The 17051-nt window shown below is 44.9% G+C and overlaps 1 long non-coding RNA gene across 4 annotated transcripts in view, besides 2 other annotated features; it reads right to left on the reverse strand.

Annotated features, from left to right (window-relative positions):
* The window catches only part of LOC105369309 (uncharacterized), a 189617-nt gene that overhangs the window by 164734 nt on the left and 7832 nt on the right, over nucleotides 1-17051 (reverse strand). The window contains exon 1 of one of the 4 annotated variants that reach the window (XR_950120.3): nucleotides 15298-16491. The exons of the other annotated variants lie outside the window; for them this stretch is intronic. This is a non-coding gene — a long non-coding RNA (uncharacterized LOC105369309). Of the gene's footprint in view, nucleotides 1-15297; nucleotides 16492-17051 lie in introns of those variants that run through there. 4 annotated transcript variants of the gene reach the window in all.
* Nucleotides 6558-7091: an enhancer, noted in NCBI's record as "NANOG-H3K27ac hESC enhancer chr11:56980775-56981308 (GRCh37/hg19 assembly coordinates)". NCBI's record gives its function as "activates a minimal SCP1, AML or CMV promoter by ChIP-STARR-seq in naive and primed H9 embryonic stem cells {active_cell/tissue: H9 hESC(naive and primed)}" and the evidence as "EXISTENCE:reporter gene assay evidence [ECO:0000049][PMID:30033119]".
* Nucleotides 7092-7626: an enhancer, noted in NCBI's record as "H3K27ac hESC enhancer chr11:56981309-56981843 (GRCh37/hg19 assembly coordinates)". NCBI's record gives its function as "activates a minimal SCP1, AML or CMV promoter by ChIP-STARR-seq in primed H9 embryonic stem cells {active_cell/tissue: H9 hESC(primed)}" and the evidence as "EXISTENCE:reporter gene assay evidence [ECO:0000049][PMID:30033119]".

A 17051-nucleotide genomic window follows, 5' to 3' on the forward strand; every position in this document is an offset into this window, starting at 1 on the left:
CTTACCAGCTCACTCAGGGCTGTTTCCCACCTCTTCACTTGGCCAACTCCTGCTCTTCCTTCAGCTGAATGCCCAGCCTCCTCCTCTATGAAGCCTTCCCTCATGTTATCCCACCCCACACACAACCTCCAAAGCACCCTGGACTTTTGGATTTCCATTCAGCTCACTGTGCTTGCTTATCCTCTCTCTCTCTCCTCCACCCAACCACAGACTCCCCTGGCCTGGGACAGTCTCTCTCTCCCCATCATCAATGTACTTGCACAGTCAGGCTCTGTCATCAGCACTCAGAGGATGTTCGACAAATATTGTAGGGGTGTTTGATTGACAAGTGGAGACCACTCCCCTTTATGTGTCCTGCTCCTTGACTCAGTGGAACCACAGAGGCCACTGAGAATGGACCCAGAAGATAGTTCCTGCTAAGGCAGGGGCAGTGATAGAACAGGAGCAGCTCATGGAGAAGCCTCTAACCATCTGCCCCACAGGAGTGTCTGTCCAAGACAGCTGATGTTCCAGTCTCCATATCAGTCCAGGATGCATGTGGAGGGGGAAGTCTTCATCTCCCTCTGATCCCCGGCTGCTACTTCCTGAACCTTCTTAGGGCTAAGGGGCTGGCAGGCAGGCGGGCGGTGGGGCTGCCACACGCTCCCACTCCTAGCACATATCCTGTCGCTACCTCTTCTGGCAGGATGTTATTGCAGAGCCCAGGGCTGTTATTGTCAGGAGAATGGCTTTCCTGAGCTCATTAAAGGACCTCTGTCCTTTCTCCAGGACCGACCCCCCTTTTCCTCTGTCCCCAATCAACACTGAGAGAAAGGGGCCCTGGGACAACTCCAGGTGGAGCATCACAGCTCCCCTTCCTCCTGCTACTTCTCTACTTGGCTGGCTGATGACTATGATCACAGATGGTCATCATTCCTATTTGAATGCCTTTGTGTGCCTAGGCATTAATGGCCATTGACTAATTCAGCCCTCACAGCACTCATGTAAGATAAATGTTATTATTAATCTCATTTATACAGTAGAGCAAGCTGGGGCTCAGAGAGGTTAAATGATGTGCTCTAACTCACACAGCAAGAAGGAAAAGGAACAGTAATTCCAACACAGTTCTTCCTGACTCCAACACCCTTTCTCTTGCAACACCCACTTGCTGCCATGAGCTAGTTTTTGTTCTGTGTAAGTGGAGAATTGCAGTGAACGAGGGGGAAAAGGCCTTCCCAGGAGCCAGCATTTCCCTACAGGGAGTCTAGAGGTCACAGGATCTTCCTCACCCTTGAGAAAGAGCTAGAACTAAGATGTAATAGTGAGATAGCACCCATCTTGTGTTTGCTCAGGCCTTAACCAAATCAAAGCACTTCCACCCCTGAAGGAGAGAAGCCATTGACTCTTCATCATTCATGGGACAAGGCACAAGAAGAATGAAGATAATTAAAAACTGGAAATAATAAGTTGAATTTCTCTTAAGTGATTTTGTGTTGATGGAGCAGAAATGTAGCAGCTAAGAGACCACAGCTTGGTTACCACTAGCTGGGTAATCCTGATATATCACACCTACTAGGGACCTCATTTTCCTAATCTGGGAATCAGGAATAACTACCCCCACCATACAGCATTTGTTATATGAATCCAATGACTCCATGTCTATGAAAGTGCCTTATAAAATGAAGCATACAACCCCTGCCTCAGATTTGCTGAAAAGATTAAACACATTGATACATAAAGCACTTAGCACAGTGCCTGGAATTCAAGTGCTCTATAAATCAATGGCAGCTGCTACTTTGTCACAAAGTAATCATTTCTATTAATGCATTTATTGTTCTGCTGAAGTTGTATTTGCAGTCCTGCAGCACAGCAGACTCTGGGTAAGGAGGCAGATTGGGCCTACCTGGTCAACAGCAAGAACCCTCCTGACTTCCACACTCAACACCTAGAGCCATGCGCCATGAAAGAGCAAAACCAGCACCTCCCTACCACCTAATAAAACAGAGAGACAGGCCAGGCACAGTGGCTCACATGTGTAATCCCAACACTTTGGGAGGCTGAGGCAGAAGGATCACCTGAGCCCAGGAGTTCAAGACCAGCCTGGGCAATACAGTGAGATCCTTTCTTTACAAAAAATAAAAAATTAGCCAGGCACATGCTTATAGTCCCAGCTACTCAAGAGGCTGAGGCAGGAGGGTCACTTGAGGCCAGGAGGTCTAGGCTGCAGTGAGCTATGATCACATTACTGCACTCCAGCCTGAAAGACAGAATGAGACCCTGTCTCAAAAACAAAAACAAAAAGAAGAGAAAGAGAGACAGACAGATAAACAAAAGATGCTCTTAGAACAAAGATGTGATGGGAAGAGCAGAGCTGTCTGCAGTGGCATTCTCTTTGTTACCACCAGAGCTAAGTTTGCTACTGGACCCTTATCTGATGCCTAAAGAACCAAAAGCCTTTTACCTACATAATCTCAATCAATCACTACCACATCCCTAGGAGGTAGGGACTGTCACTTTCCAAAGAAGGAGATCAACTTTGAGAAGTTTAGTGACTTGCCCAAGCTCACTTAGTGGTGTGATCTGAACCTCAAAATGACTCTAAAGCCTACTTTCTTAAATATTCAAGCCGGGTCCAAAGACCAGTCCATCACTTACTGGCTGTGGCTTGGGACAAGCCTTTCTTGAATTTCCATTTTCCTTGCCTATGACATAAGTACACATAAAACTCACCTTGTAGGACTGCTGTGGCCATTAGGGTCTTGTGGCTACAGCCCCAACGTAATGCCTGACCAAACTGGTGCCTGGTTCTTCTCATCTTTAGGCTACATCAAATTTTCCCAAACCTGCTTGACCATAAGAATTACTTGGCATGCTGAATAAAAACAGATTCCTGAAACCTGCCCCACACCTGCTGAATTCGAATCCTTAGAAAATAGTTCCCAAGAGTCTGTATTTCTTTTTAGAAGTCTCTCATGTTCCTAATTTTTTTTTTTTTTTTTTTTTTTTGATACGGAGTCTTGCTCTGTCACCAGGCTGGAGTGCAGTGGTGCGATCCTGCACCACTGCAACCTCCACGTCCCGGGTTCAAGCCATTCTCCTGCCTCAGCCTCCCCAGTAGCTAGGACTACAGGCACATGCCACCACACCTAGTTAATTTTTATATTTTTAGTAGAGATGGGTTTTCACCGTGTTAGCCAGGATGGTCTCGATCTCTTGACCTTGCAATCCACCTGCCTCAGCCTCCCAAAGTGCTAGGATTACAGGCGTAAACCACCACATCCGGCCGTTCATAATTCTTATAATGAGATAAGCTTGAGACTCAGTAGACCAGTGCTGGCTACACATTAGAATCACCTGGGGGAGCTTTTGAAAAATCCCAATGACAGACCTCACTCAAGACCCACTGACTTAGAGTTTTGGAGGTAAGCCCAGCCAGACATCAGGACTTTTCCAAAGTTTCCAGATGATACCAATGTGCAGCCGCAGGGGTATGCTGAATAAAAACAGATTGTGTTATGCCAATGCTGTTCACAAGAATTTTGTGCCATGATGGAAGTGCTCCATATCTGTACTGTCCCGTGTGGTAAGTACCAGGCACATGTGGCTATAGAGCCCTTGAAATGTGGCCAGTGCTGCCGAAGAACTAAAATTTTAATTTTATTTAACTTTAAATAATATAAATTGGAATTTGCATAGCCACATGTGGCTATTGGCTACCGTATTGGACCACTGCAGCTCTAGACCTAGGAGGGTACACTACCCCTCTAGATAACAGGCAGGGACTGAAGAATGAAAATGAGGGGCTCTCCTCCCTTCATAAAAGGATTGGGAGGCATGCTAAGACATGTCCTTGGAAATCAAAATGTTTTTGTGGGCTCTGAGATAACAATTGGTCCTGGTGGTCTGTTCCATTTGGTAAATTCCCACCTGGCCCCTTTCTTGGCTCAACTGAAGAAGGAAAACACCCATCTCCAAGCTTCCAGCAGGAGCCTTGAAGTTGCAGGAAAAGCCAGGGGGGCAGGCTGAGGAGACTAGCTTCTATTTTAAAGACGTTTTCCTCTTTGGAATAAGCTCCATCCTCCAACGGTGCAGACAGGGTAAAGGTTGTGACTGACATTGTGTTGCTGGACATTAAACAGCCTCCGAGGTCACCCGGCAGCTGGTGGGTATGTCCTGACGGACGGCTCTTAATCGGGCTCACCCCTGCCCCTGGGAACCTTGAGGTCCTGGGGGTGGGGCAAGGAAAGGGAGGCCAGCTGTTGGTGATCACCATTTGCTTTTCCCTTCCCCCTCCACATTCCCTGCCCCTCTATGTCACCTCATCCTGCAATGCCCTGTGATGATGGATGTTTGTGAGTTAAATGGATGGACAGGCAGGCAGGGAGTGTGAGTGCAGGGAGCAGACCACCCGGGCAACAACACAGGAAGCTCTGTTGGGTTTCTTCTCCCTGGTGTGAGCTCGTTCCTGGATGACAAGCTGTGATTTCCAACCAAATGTTTTCTTACAGTCACCACACCTATTGGTTTTCTCTCCCCTGGCAATATCTTCAGTGGGGCTTCAGAGAGATCATCTTACTTTTGCTCCATTAGGGCGATGAGACTTCGAGACCAGGGTACAGGGTCATGGAAGTAATACAAAGCTGCAGAAGAAGGCCTGGGTTGGGGCAAGGCAAGCTTCTGAGCCCAGTCACTTCACCCTTAATATGGGATAGCAACACCCACTTAACAAGGTGGTTGTGAAAATAAAACCAGATGATGATTAATAGATGAATGTGGCTGTCAAGTAGCAGGGGTACTCAAGTACGATTCACCCTTGAATAACACAGCCTGCCTCTCCCGCCTCCCCTTCCATCTCCTCCACCTCTTCTGCCTCTGCCATCCCTGAGACAGCAAAACCAACCCCTCCTTGCCTCCTTCTTTCTCCTGGGAATGTCCACTCTTTTGGCTTCCCTGAGCCACGTTGGAAGAAGAAGAATTGTCTTGGGCCACACATGAAATACACTAACACTAACAATAGCTGATGAGCTTAAAAGAAAAAAAATCACAAAAAAGTCTCATAATGTTTTAAGAAAGTTTATGAATTTGTGTTAGACAGCATTCAAAGTTGTCCTGGGCCACATGCAGCCGTGAGCCGTAAGTTTGACAAGCTTGCTCTACTCAACGTGAAGACAACCAGGATAAAGACTATTATGATAATCTACTTACACTTAATGAAGAGTAAATATATTTTATTTCCTTATGGTTTTCTTAGTAACATTTTCTTTTCTCTAACTTCCTTTATTGTAAGAATATGGTATAAAATACATATAACATACAAACTATGTGTTAATATGTATGTTATCAATAAGGCTTACCATCACCAGTAGACTATTAGTAGTTTTCGGGGAGTACAAAGTTATACACGGATTTTTGACTGTGCATTGTTTAAGGGTCAACTGTAGTTTAAAGTCTGAGCTTCCTTAACTCTGTTCCCTAGGATTTCTTAGCCTTCACCTTGCCCTTTTTCCTAAATTTTCTCTTAATATTTCTCAACCCTAAGCTGTGACCTTTGACCCCTGTGGATTTGTTACCCTAAGAAAATCCCACAAACACCCTAACAATCCCCAGGCCTGAATGACCACACACAATGGGTATGGATTCCCCACCTAGAGTCAGACAACCCTCCAGCACCATTTTCTCTACAAACCTTCAGTTCCACTCAAGAAGCAACTGATGTGTGTTACTGGTTTGGTGGCTGAACCTCATGCATGGGGTGGAACAGAAAGAAGGCTATAAAGTCGGTAAGACACGTGCCCTGCATTCAAAGAACTCCTACCGGTGACAATAACTCACAACACCAGGTTTCAAAGCACTGTCCTGACTACTAGCTCTTAAAACAACCCAATGAAGAGAATGTGGAGATTAGTATGAGAATTCCCATATTCCAGATGAAGACATTGAAGTTCAGAGAGTTGAAATGTTTTGCTTAAGTTCACAAGTAGTAGATGTACAACCAAGTCTCAAAGTCAGATTTTTTTTACTTCAAATGATAATTTGCATGCAAAGCACTCATAATAGGAACTGAATTATTGATGAGCATTCTTCATTATTGTTTATCCAAATTCCATGCCCTTTCCAACAGAAGGGAAAGAGTGTGCATTTTAAAAACAAACAGGCTGTGATTAATTACAAACACAGGTGTTTAAAGAAACCAGATATTAATATACACTTACAAGCCAAGGAACTATATTCATCTTTTAAGGAACTTGGTAATGAATGTGGGTTGGGAAAACTTTTGGAGACATGATAGTTTTAAAAAGGGTAGTATTTGTATGGGGAGAGAGAAGAATCAGGGGCCTTCCAGACAGGGGGTACTGAAGTTAGCATGCACATTTTACCAATTTATACAACTCAGCTATGAGGCCAAGCATTGAAGATGCAGAAATAAATAAGACAAGGTCGCTGCCCTGGAGGAAATTACAGTCCAAAGCTGATGCTTTTCTATGGGACTGTCAGGGAGGATATCCAGGAAAGTAGGCAACTCGAGCTCAGATACTGAAAGGGCCTTGAATGGCAGTCCAGGGAATTCGGAGTTTATCCTGCCGGCAAGGGGTTGTGAAGAGGACTTTTCCTCCAACCCCTTTGTCCTGGTCTTGGACAAAGGGCCACACATGACATAGCCTCACAGTCCCCCTTTAGCTACCTCCCCCACTACCCCGCCCCAAAGCTCATTATTCTGTAATCAGTTCGGAGAACCACAAGACAAGGCGATAAATCTGGTCCTTAGTGACACTCCTCTTTCCCCTCCCCCAAGCCTTTGTTCCTCCCTTTGTCTGGAGATGAAGCCTCCCACCCACCCACCGGCTGGAGCTTCCAGGCTCCCTCCCTTCCCAGCCCCTCCTCTCTCTCAAGCGCCCCTGCAAATGGGCTTTATGGTTTCCACGGAAACCAGAGAGGCCCAGGAGCCAGGGGGTCTTTTGCAAAAACACTGTTTGTGCCACCATTTGGGGTGGCAGAGACAGTGAGAAAGTGCAAAAACAGCTTACAAATGCCTGCCCATCATGCTCTCGATCTGGTTTAAGTGGGGAAAGAGGAACTGAGCTCATTTCCACTTCAAAGGGGCTGTGTTGGGTTAAGTCCAAACTCAGCCTGGCAGCCCTAAAGGAACACACATATGCACAGGCGCACACACACACACAGACACACACACACACACAGACACACACACACACAAAGACACACACACACAGACACACACACACACAAAGACACAAAGACACACACACACAGATACACACACTCATATACATACCCAGTCACACTCATATAAACACAAACATAAACACACACACACTCCTATACCTACCCGCACAGCCACACTCAAGCACAAACATATACACACACACACACTTTCACACATACACACAAATCCACACTCACCAGCCCCGCCTTTCCCAGTACAGCTGGGCTCAGTCCACTAAGAAAACAAACCTTCCATAAGACAGCCCTGCACTTAGAACACCCTCTGTACATTCCCAGGATGCAAAAACCCTTCCAATGACCACACCCTCAGAAGCCCCCATCCCCCAGCCCCTTGTGCCTCAGTCCCCTGGTCTTAAAACTGACAGTTCAAAACTTGCTTCTTGCCTCTTTAAGCACCTGGTGACAGGAGAGTCACAGATGCTGCAGACTGGAAGCCCCCCACCCCTGTCGGCTTTCCCACGTGATCCCAGCAGAAGCCATTGATCCTGCTCAACAGGACAAAGGATGGTGGGCAAGTGATAAATGAGGACAGGAGAGAAACATTTCATTTCCCACTTTGATGGGTTCCAGCCTGAAGATCCAGACCCCTAAGAGTGTATTCAGGTTGGAAAGGCACCCTCCAAGTACCAGTAGTATTTTCAGGGTTCTGTGGATGCTGGACAAGCCATAGCAGTGCAGGGGAATGAAAGTGTGCAGCCTCTATCTTTGTAACAAGTAACAGCATTCCAGATTGTACTCATCGGCCATTACAAAGCAGTCTGGAATCTGGTGGGCGGTTCTGGTGTTCCAGCTTAATTTTTTAGTAAATAAAATAACCTAGGGATTAGTTCTTATCCAGCACAGTCTGCTTGGGAGACCAGATATTTCTGAGCATCAGGGGGTCTTGGTGGTGGGGAAACACAGAGGTCAAGCCCCTTGAGTCGGTGCTTTATGTAGGGCCCACCCGAAGTCCTTGCTTAGTTTACTCTGTACCTCTACTTTGCATTAATTCTTTACTCCTCAAAGGGAAAATAAGAGACCCCTCCTCTTCCTCTGCCTAGATCTCACCCCTGAATGTGGAGTGGAATTTAAATCTGGTCCTGTCTCTGCTTAAATCATTTATCCACCACCTGAGTGGCAACTTGGTGTAGTAGATTTGGGTTCCAACTTTTCTGGGTCCCTAACCTGACTCTTTCAATTGCAATATTGCCTTAGCAAAGTTCATTTAACTCTATTTTTTTTTTTTAAACAGAGTCTCACTCTGTCACCAGGCTGGAGTGCAGTGGCATGATCTTGGCTAACTGTAACCTCCGCCTCCCAGGTTCAAGTGATTCTCCTGCATCAGCCTCCCAAGTAGCTGGAATTACAGGTGCATGCCACCACGCCCAGCTAATTTTTGTATTTTCAGTAGAGACGGGGTTTCACCATGTTGCCCAGGCTGGTCTCGATCTCTTGACCTCGTTATCTGCCCGCCTTGGCCTCCCAAAGTGCTGGGATTGCAGACATGGGCCACCACACCCAGCCTATGTTGCTGTAAATGACAAGAATTCATTTTTTTTATGAGAATACATGGACACACGGAGGGGAACAACACACACTGTTGCCTGTCAGAGGGTGGGGGGTGAGAGGAGGGAGAGCACCAGGAAGAATAACTAGTGGATGCTGGGCTTAATACCTGGGTGATGGGATGATCTGCACAGCAAACCACCAGGCACACATTCACCCTATGTAACAAACCTGCACATGTGCCCCTGAACTTAATAAAAGTTGAAAATAAAAACATAAAATAAAAAATCAAGATTTCATTTCTTATAGCCAAATAGTGTTCCATTGTGTATATACACCATATTTTCTTTATTCATCCATTAATAGACACTCAGGTTGATTTCATATCTTTGCTATGGTGAAATGTGCCACAATAAACATGAGAGTAAAGGTATAACCTGATACACTGATTTCCTTTCTTTTTCTTTTTTTTTTTTTTTTGATAAATACCCAGCAGTGGGATTGCTTGGATCAAATGGTAATTCTATTTTTAGTTTTTTGAGAAATCACCATACTGTTTTCCATGGTGGCTGTACTAATTTACATCCCCACCAACAGTGTATAAGAGTTCCCTTTTCTCCACATCCTTGCCAGCGTCTTTGACTCTAAATTTTATCTGCAAAATAGATAGAATAACATAGGACCCTCTCCTCAAGACAGTTGCAGGGATTGCAAGATAACAATAGTAAAATGCCCTGCAAAAGTGTGTTCAAAGCACACTACTTCTCTTCAGTGTGCTGGTAGATGTGAAACAACATTAATCATGTTCTCTCTTGCCATGTTGTTTATCTCAAGGAGGCAATAGATCTTATATGTGCACATTAATGCCTAGTGTCTCTACACCAGTCCCTCACTACCCATGAAAATTAATTTTGAACCAATCAATTTTGAGTGCCTAATGTGTATTCTCAGCACAAAGATCCAAGCAAAACTGTAAAGTGCAAAAAAGAAAAATTTCATTGTTACTTATGTACAAACAATTTACTGAGCAATTTGACCCCACATACCAAGCACTGCAGACGACCAGGGGGTGAGTAAAATGCAATCACTTTCAACCAAACAGTACAATATTGTAGTTAAGAAATCCTCGGGCCCTGGATCCCATCCACCCTCGTTCAAATCCCAACTATCCCTTGCTGGCTATGATTTCATGTTTGGCAGGTTACGTCATCCTTCTGAACATCAGTTTACTCATCTGTATAATGGGGGTATAATGGGGCTGATCACAATAGCCCTTGTGCCTCCCAGAATTAAATGAAATTAAAGCCCATGAAATACTCCAGCTGAGGAAGTGTCCAGCTTGGAAATTGTTCAATTGACTTTGCTGCTGGTGCTGCTGTTGTTATTATTATTATTAGCAATGCCACTTAAGTCTAGAACAACTCAATCACAAAATAATACAGTAGAGCAGAGAAGGATAGGGAGAACAGTGAAGAGTCCAGGGGACCCTGGGAACCCCACTTGCCCTTTCCAGGTCTTTGTTACATAAAGCTAAATGGAGCGGTGAGACCCAATGATCCTTCATCGCTCACTGACTTCAAGGAGTACTCAAGAAGTAAGGGTCACAAACAAACAACAAAAACAAAAACTACCAACGAACTCATAAAGCTTACAGTTCAGCTGGAGTCCTCCCATTCACCTTGGTTCCCTGACTGCCAAATTTTTTTCTGGAAAGCTCCAGTTGCTCCTCCCTGTGCCTTCCCCTCCTCCCCACCACCTTCCTCCTCCTGGGGAAGCAGAAGTTCCTGAGGGCCAGAGAGGAGGTCAGAGATCTCCACCGGCCTGGCCAAGAGCCACCAGGACAGCTTCCTGCCAGCAGCCTTCAGTAAGGAGCTGTCCATCTCAGGGAAACCCAAATAAAGTCACCTCTCCACCCGAGAGCATTTTGCCCTTTAAGGAAAGATTGTATTTGGAGCCCAGAACATATTTATGGCTTCATGAAGATTTCATCCAACCTTTTACGGACAGAGTCAGCATCAAAGGGGCCTGCCCAGGCCCATCTGCTACCACTTTCATAGGCTGACCTGGGCCTGGATCCTGAATAAATTATGAAGTCACTGAACTTTGTTTCTGATAAGCCCCTTTTCGTGCTTTCTTCCCTTTTCTACCTCCAATCCCACCCGTCTTCCACACCATGGCCAAGTACCCTTACAATCTAACCCCAATCAGTCTTTCCAAAGATGAGGCTCCAAGTAATTATTCCAAATGACTATCTAATATAGCTTAATACATTTCCACCCTAGAAAAGTTTAAAGAAGATACATAATAAGCATTTGTGTGTCCAGAATTTTACAGACATCTCATTTTATTCTCACAACAGCCTATAAGTAGGTACAATTGCCACCTCTACTTGGCTGACAACTGAGGCTCAGAGGTGTTTTCTAACTCATCCATAGATTCAATTGCTGGTAAGGGAAGAGCTGACAGTTCACCTGAGGTCTCTGTGAGTCCAAAGCCGTATGCATCTCACGATACCAAAATACACCAAAAGACAGAGGAATTTCTGGCATTGCCAGGTGTCTAAAGGGATCTGCAGGGAGAGACAGAAGTTTGAGAAATCTCCCTTAAGGAACTAAAATAGATCTACCATTTGATCCAGCAATCCCACTAATGCATATCTACCCAAAGGAAAAGAAGCCATTATACGAAAAAGATACTTGCACGTGAATGTTTATAGCAGCACAATTTGCAATTGCTAAAATACGGACCCAGCCCAAATGCCCATCAACCAACAAGTGAATAAAGAAAATAAAGAAATTGTGGCATATACATATATATACGATATATACATATATACACCATATATATATATACACACCATATATATATACCATATATATACATACCATATATATATACCATATATATACACACACCATATATATATATATATACACCATATATATAATTGTGGCATATATATATATATATATACACACCATGGAATACTACTCAGTCATAAAAAGGAAAAAAATAATGGCATTCACGGCAATCTTGATGGAATTGCAGACTATTATTCTAAGTGAAGTAACTCAGGAATGGAAAAACAAACATCATATGTTCTCACTCATAAGTGGGAGCTAAGCTATGAGGATGCAAAGCCATAAGAATGATACAATGGACTTTGGGGACTCGGGGAAAGAATGGGAAGGGGGTGAGGGATAAAAGACTACACTTTGGGTACAGTATACACTGCTCTGGTGATGGGTGCACCAAAATCTCAGAAATCACCACTAAAGGACTCATTCATGTAACCAAACACCACCTGTTCCCCCAAAAACCTATTAAAATAAAAAAGAAGTTTCAGGAATCTCTATCACACTCTGTAAGGCAGCTTCCAAAGCTTCCTTCTCCTGGAACCAGATCTGGGTCTGTGCATGACTGAGGTGTCAGGCAGGACAGCCTCACTCTAGGACACTTCTGATGGCAACAGTTAGCCACGTTTCAGCATCCAAAAAAAGAGAATTCACCGGACTTCCCAGCAATTTTAGGAAAGGAAGGCAAGAGATTTCGAGACACTAGGTAAATTTTTGACATTCCATTAGATAGATAGGTGGATAGGTAGAGAGAGAGAGAGTATGAATACAGATTGAGAGTTTTCATGCCACAAGTTTCATGTCAATTAAAAATAATCCAGTGGGACTCAGGAGCACGGCATGGTGAAACTTGCACGGATTTTACAATTAGGCAAACCCAGCTCTGAATCCTGGCATGGCCGTGTACTGATCACATGACCTTGAGCAAATTGCCTAACATTTCCTGAGCTTCAGTTACTTCTGCAAAAATGAGATGATAATACTTCCTTTTACAAAGTTATTCAAAGGATTTGGGATTGTTTATGTAAAACACCTAACAGTGTGCTGAGAGTGGCAGATGTCCACCAACCAGATACATCCCCAGGCTGAACGGAGGCCAAGAAGCACTTCACCCATTCCATCCTTATCTCTCAAAGTCCAGGGCAGTTCCAAATAAAAGGCAGATATTTTCACCAACCAAAGCAGCTGCTCTGGCTTTCCCGGAACAGGCCTCTGCCTCAGAGCCCTTCATTGACCACCCATGTTTCCATGGTTGAACGTTTACAGGAGAACATTCAGCCTCCCCTTGTGGTTCATGGAGCCCTTAAATCCCCCTCCAGCCTCACCTCCTGTCATTCCCCTCTCCCACTCACACACCTCCAGCCAGACACTCAGTGCACCATTCACCAGACACAGTATTCCGTGGCTTTGATCACACAGTTCCCATTTCCTGAAGTGTCCTCCTAGCCCTCCACCTAAAGAACTCCCTGTCATCATTAGGAGCCCAACCTAAATCCATCAAGCGGAATTAACCGCTACCTTCTCTGTGATCCCATCACACTTTACAATGAATGGAGAAGAGGAGGGGTGGGGGCAAGGTGCACAACTTGCTAAGTGCCCACTATGCGCCACTAGCAACTCCACAGACTCTAACCACCACATGAGTTAAGCCTTATTATCCCCACTTTGCAGATAGGAAAACTAGTTCACAGAGCCCAGCGTATGATCCTGAGGTCAAAAGGCTCCAAGGCCCCTTTCCCCTACTTACTATACTCCATGGACACATGGACATGGTCCTGTCTGTCTCCCACACTAGACTGAGTTTTCTGTAAACAGAGTTCATATTTTCATCATCTCTGAAACCTCACGGCCCCCTCGGCTCAGGCTCAAGCCCAGTCCCTGACACCTAGCAAGCCCCACTAACATTCAGCATGCATAGGGAGCTGCTGGGTCATCTGTCTATTTATTATAGAGACTGGATGGAAAGAATTCTGGATCACTGAGGAAGAGCATTTCCAGGTTGAATGTCTCAGCTTTCTTCATGGACACCAGTTCGCTGGTGGGAGGCTTTAACCTTGACAACCATCCACTTTCGGGGGCTTGAAGAAAGATTTCCTGTATATATTTTAACTGCATTCATTTTAAAGGGAACTCTAAATTTTTAATACAAAAAGCCCAAGTGTACTGTGATCTCTGAGCTGGCTATCACACTTCGTAAAGATAGGCCATGGGACCAGGAAGGACCGCAGCTCAGCCAGGACTGCGCAACTTGGGGCAGCTTTCCCAAATTCTAGGAACCAAGGTCCAAGGAAACCAACAACCTTGTGGCCAACCTTTGCACATCTGTGGCACACAAGGTTTTTTTAAGCAGACTCACTATGTTTGAGGATCTTCCCACAATCTGAGCACCACTTTCCAAGTTAGAAGCTAGAATTCACTTTCCCAGATTCCTTTGCCACTAATGCTAGCATTGACCTGGGCTCCACCATTCACCAAGTGTGAAAATTCACTTTGAAAGAAAACCACCTGAGGATCCAGGAGCTGCATGAAGCCGATTTTCTGTCTAAGGAGGGAAAGTAGCAGAGAATCTTCAAAGTCTCAGAGACAGCTGCAGTGAGAGTTCTGGAGATCCAGTCCCAGACAGAACTTCACGGTGCAAGCAGAGAAGTCCCTACTAGAGACAGATAATTCTCAGATGATTCCTTCCTGCAGCCCAATGCTCCAGAGATTCTGTGAGCTCCCTGAGTTCCTTTATCAAATTCATTTTCTGCATAAATAGCTGAGAGGGGTACTGTTTACATCTTGTATTGTAAAGAGGGGTATTGTTTACATCTAAGATCCCCGAAGGATGCAAACCTCATGCCTGCCAGCCTAACAAAATCAAACCTCATCGGACTGAATAGACCTCACAGCAATATCTGACTCCCCACCTAAACTGGGATCTCATGTGCCTGGAACATGCTGAGTAGAAAATAAATATGTGCTGAAATACAATGAAGAAAAGCCACAAGACTCCTTGTTCACAGGTTGAATCTTGGACTCTGAGACCCTGCACCGAAGAAGGAAAAGGACAGTTCCCATCCCATATGCTAAATAAGTCTCTGCAGTGCAGTGGGCTGTCTTTGTGACTCACAAGCTGGTTCTGAAAATCTTCTTTCGGAAGGAGTTTCCAGAAATGGTTGGAACAATGGCAGCATCACTAGAAAGAAGTCTCTCACCTCCCACAGAAGCAACTTTGAGGGACAACATATTTTTGAATTTGCAATTTTGGAGTGTTTGCTAAAACATCACTTCCATTATAGGGTGTCACAGAAAGCACTGAGTCTCAGGAGAGCAGAGTTTAGTTCCAGTTCTGCCCCCAACCTACAGTGTGTCTGAATTATTTCCTCCTTCTTTGGGCCTCAGTTTCCCTGTCTGTAAAATGAGAAGGTTGATCTTTGCTCCCCATTGCCTCTTTCAGGCTCTTTCTCCTTCAAAAAGCTGATTCCTTTGACACCTATGCCATTCAACCAGGGTGTCCAGGCACAGCTGTACAGGTTATACAAGTAGGTTGCATCCTGGCCAAGGAAGCCCACCTGAGAGGTAAGTAGAATCCAGCCCACATCCCCACAGGCGTCACCCTTGGGTGGGCCCGCTTCCACTGGAGAAAGACTACTTTTTCCTAATTTGTACAAAGGCATCATATGAGCTAGCCAAGGCCCCAATTTCAGCTATTTTATACCCTTGCCCTCCTCCTTACTGGGGTCATTCTACTCACCTCTTAATCATCCTTCCTCCTTCACTGAAGACTTTAGGTCCTGGTTACAATCATGTTCACTGCCCTCTTCCTACAATAATTCTCAAAACTTCAATATCTGTATGTGCAACTCAACGAGCCACTTGGTCTTGTTCTTTGATGTTTTCTACCCCACCAACCTTTGTCCTCACTCCACTGCAGCCACCCACTCAACAGCCACACCATAGACCATGACATGGCCAGAAATCTCTATTTCCAAATCCTTCTATTTGGCCTTCATTTCCAGTAATTCTAGCTCATTTGCTCTGGTACCCTTCATCCCCACACTTCTGGCCCCTTATCTTGACCACTAACCCATTGATCTCACCACACACCCACCCTCCAGCAGCCACTTCCTGCCTTTGTTTCCTTCCTTACATAAATTAGATTCCATTGTCCTTCTTTATAATTACTCTCACAAACAATCCCAACGCCCTGGAGCCTCTCTCCTCTGTCACAATCCCTTTGCAAAACTCCAACATGTGCTTATTACCTTCTCTGTGCCTTTGCTGCAGCATCTAAATGTTGCCAGAGAACTTCACACAACCTGGCTAAGTGATTTCACTTTAAATTCATGGACACAAATCTCAAGTGGAAAATTGGAGCTGGAAGCTTCCCTAGGAATTTTTGTTTTTTCGTTGCCCAAGATAACATTTTATCCCCCTAAAACTTTCTAGACCCCTTTCCCTACCCCATGCTCAGCAGATGATCTCATTTTACAATTCACTTAGAAATGGGAGGTTACAAAGCCAGGACTTCCTGATCTTCCCACCACCAAACTCTACCAACTTATCTGCTTCTTAATCCATCCTCTCCTACGTCCTTTCTAGTGCACTGAATAAAATGTCCTCTCTTCCTAGGAAAGGCTGACCCTCCCACATGTGCTCCTGCCTGCATCCCTTCTGTCTTTCTTGAAGGCTTTTCTCCTCCAGTCATCTCTTCTCCACAAAAGCATCAGTCTCTTCATGGCTCATTCTTGCCCTCACCCTCACTTATAGTTTTGGTCTTTCTTAGATTGTTACTAGCACACAAACATGCCCTTGTATCTTTAATTTTTTAAAGCCCTTCTCTAGCTATTGCCCATTTCTCTCCTTACCTTCCCAGCAAAACTGTTATTGTTTTGGGGTGTTTGTTTGTTTGTTTGTTTGTTTGTTTGAAACAGAAACTGGCTGTGTTTCCCAGGCTGGAGTGTAGTGACACAATCTTGGCTCACTGCAATTTCCACCTCCCAGGTCCAAGCTATTCTCCTGCCTCAGCCTCCTGAGTAGCTGGGATTACAGGTGCACACCACCACACCCACCTAATTTTTGTATTTTTAGTAGAGATGGGGTTTCACCATGTTGGCCAGGCTGGTTTCAAACTCCTGACCTCAAGTGATCTGTCTACCTTGGCCTCCCAAAGTGGCAAAACTGTTGAAAAGAGTTGTTTTCACAAGCATTCTCCAATCCTCCTATCCACTCGTCAGCTCTCTGCAGTCTGTCTTCTACTGTCTGTCTTCTACAAACACAACCTGTAGTCTATCTTCTATGAACACAATTCACTGTAACCCCTGACCCATGTCACCAAAGACCTCTGTGTCACCAAATCCAGTGGATCGTTTTCTGGTTTCCTCTTATCTGACCTCTCTGTAGGATTCTTCACAGTTCCATCTCTATGATGTTCAGATTTTTATCATCAGTCCAGACCTCTCTTCCATTACATATCAAACTGCCTTCTCAACATCCGCACTTGAATGT

Source organism: Homo sapiens, chromosome 11, assembly GCF_000001405.40.
Source record: "Homo sapiens chromosome 11, GRCh38.p14 Primary Assembly".
NCBI classification, from domain to species: domain Eukaryota; kingdom Metazoa; phylum Chordata; class Mammalia; order Primates; family Hominidae; genus Homo; species Homo sapiens.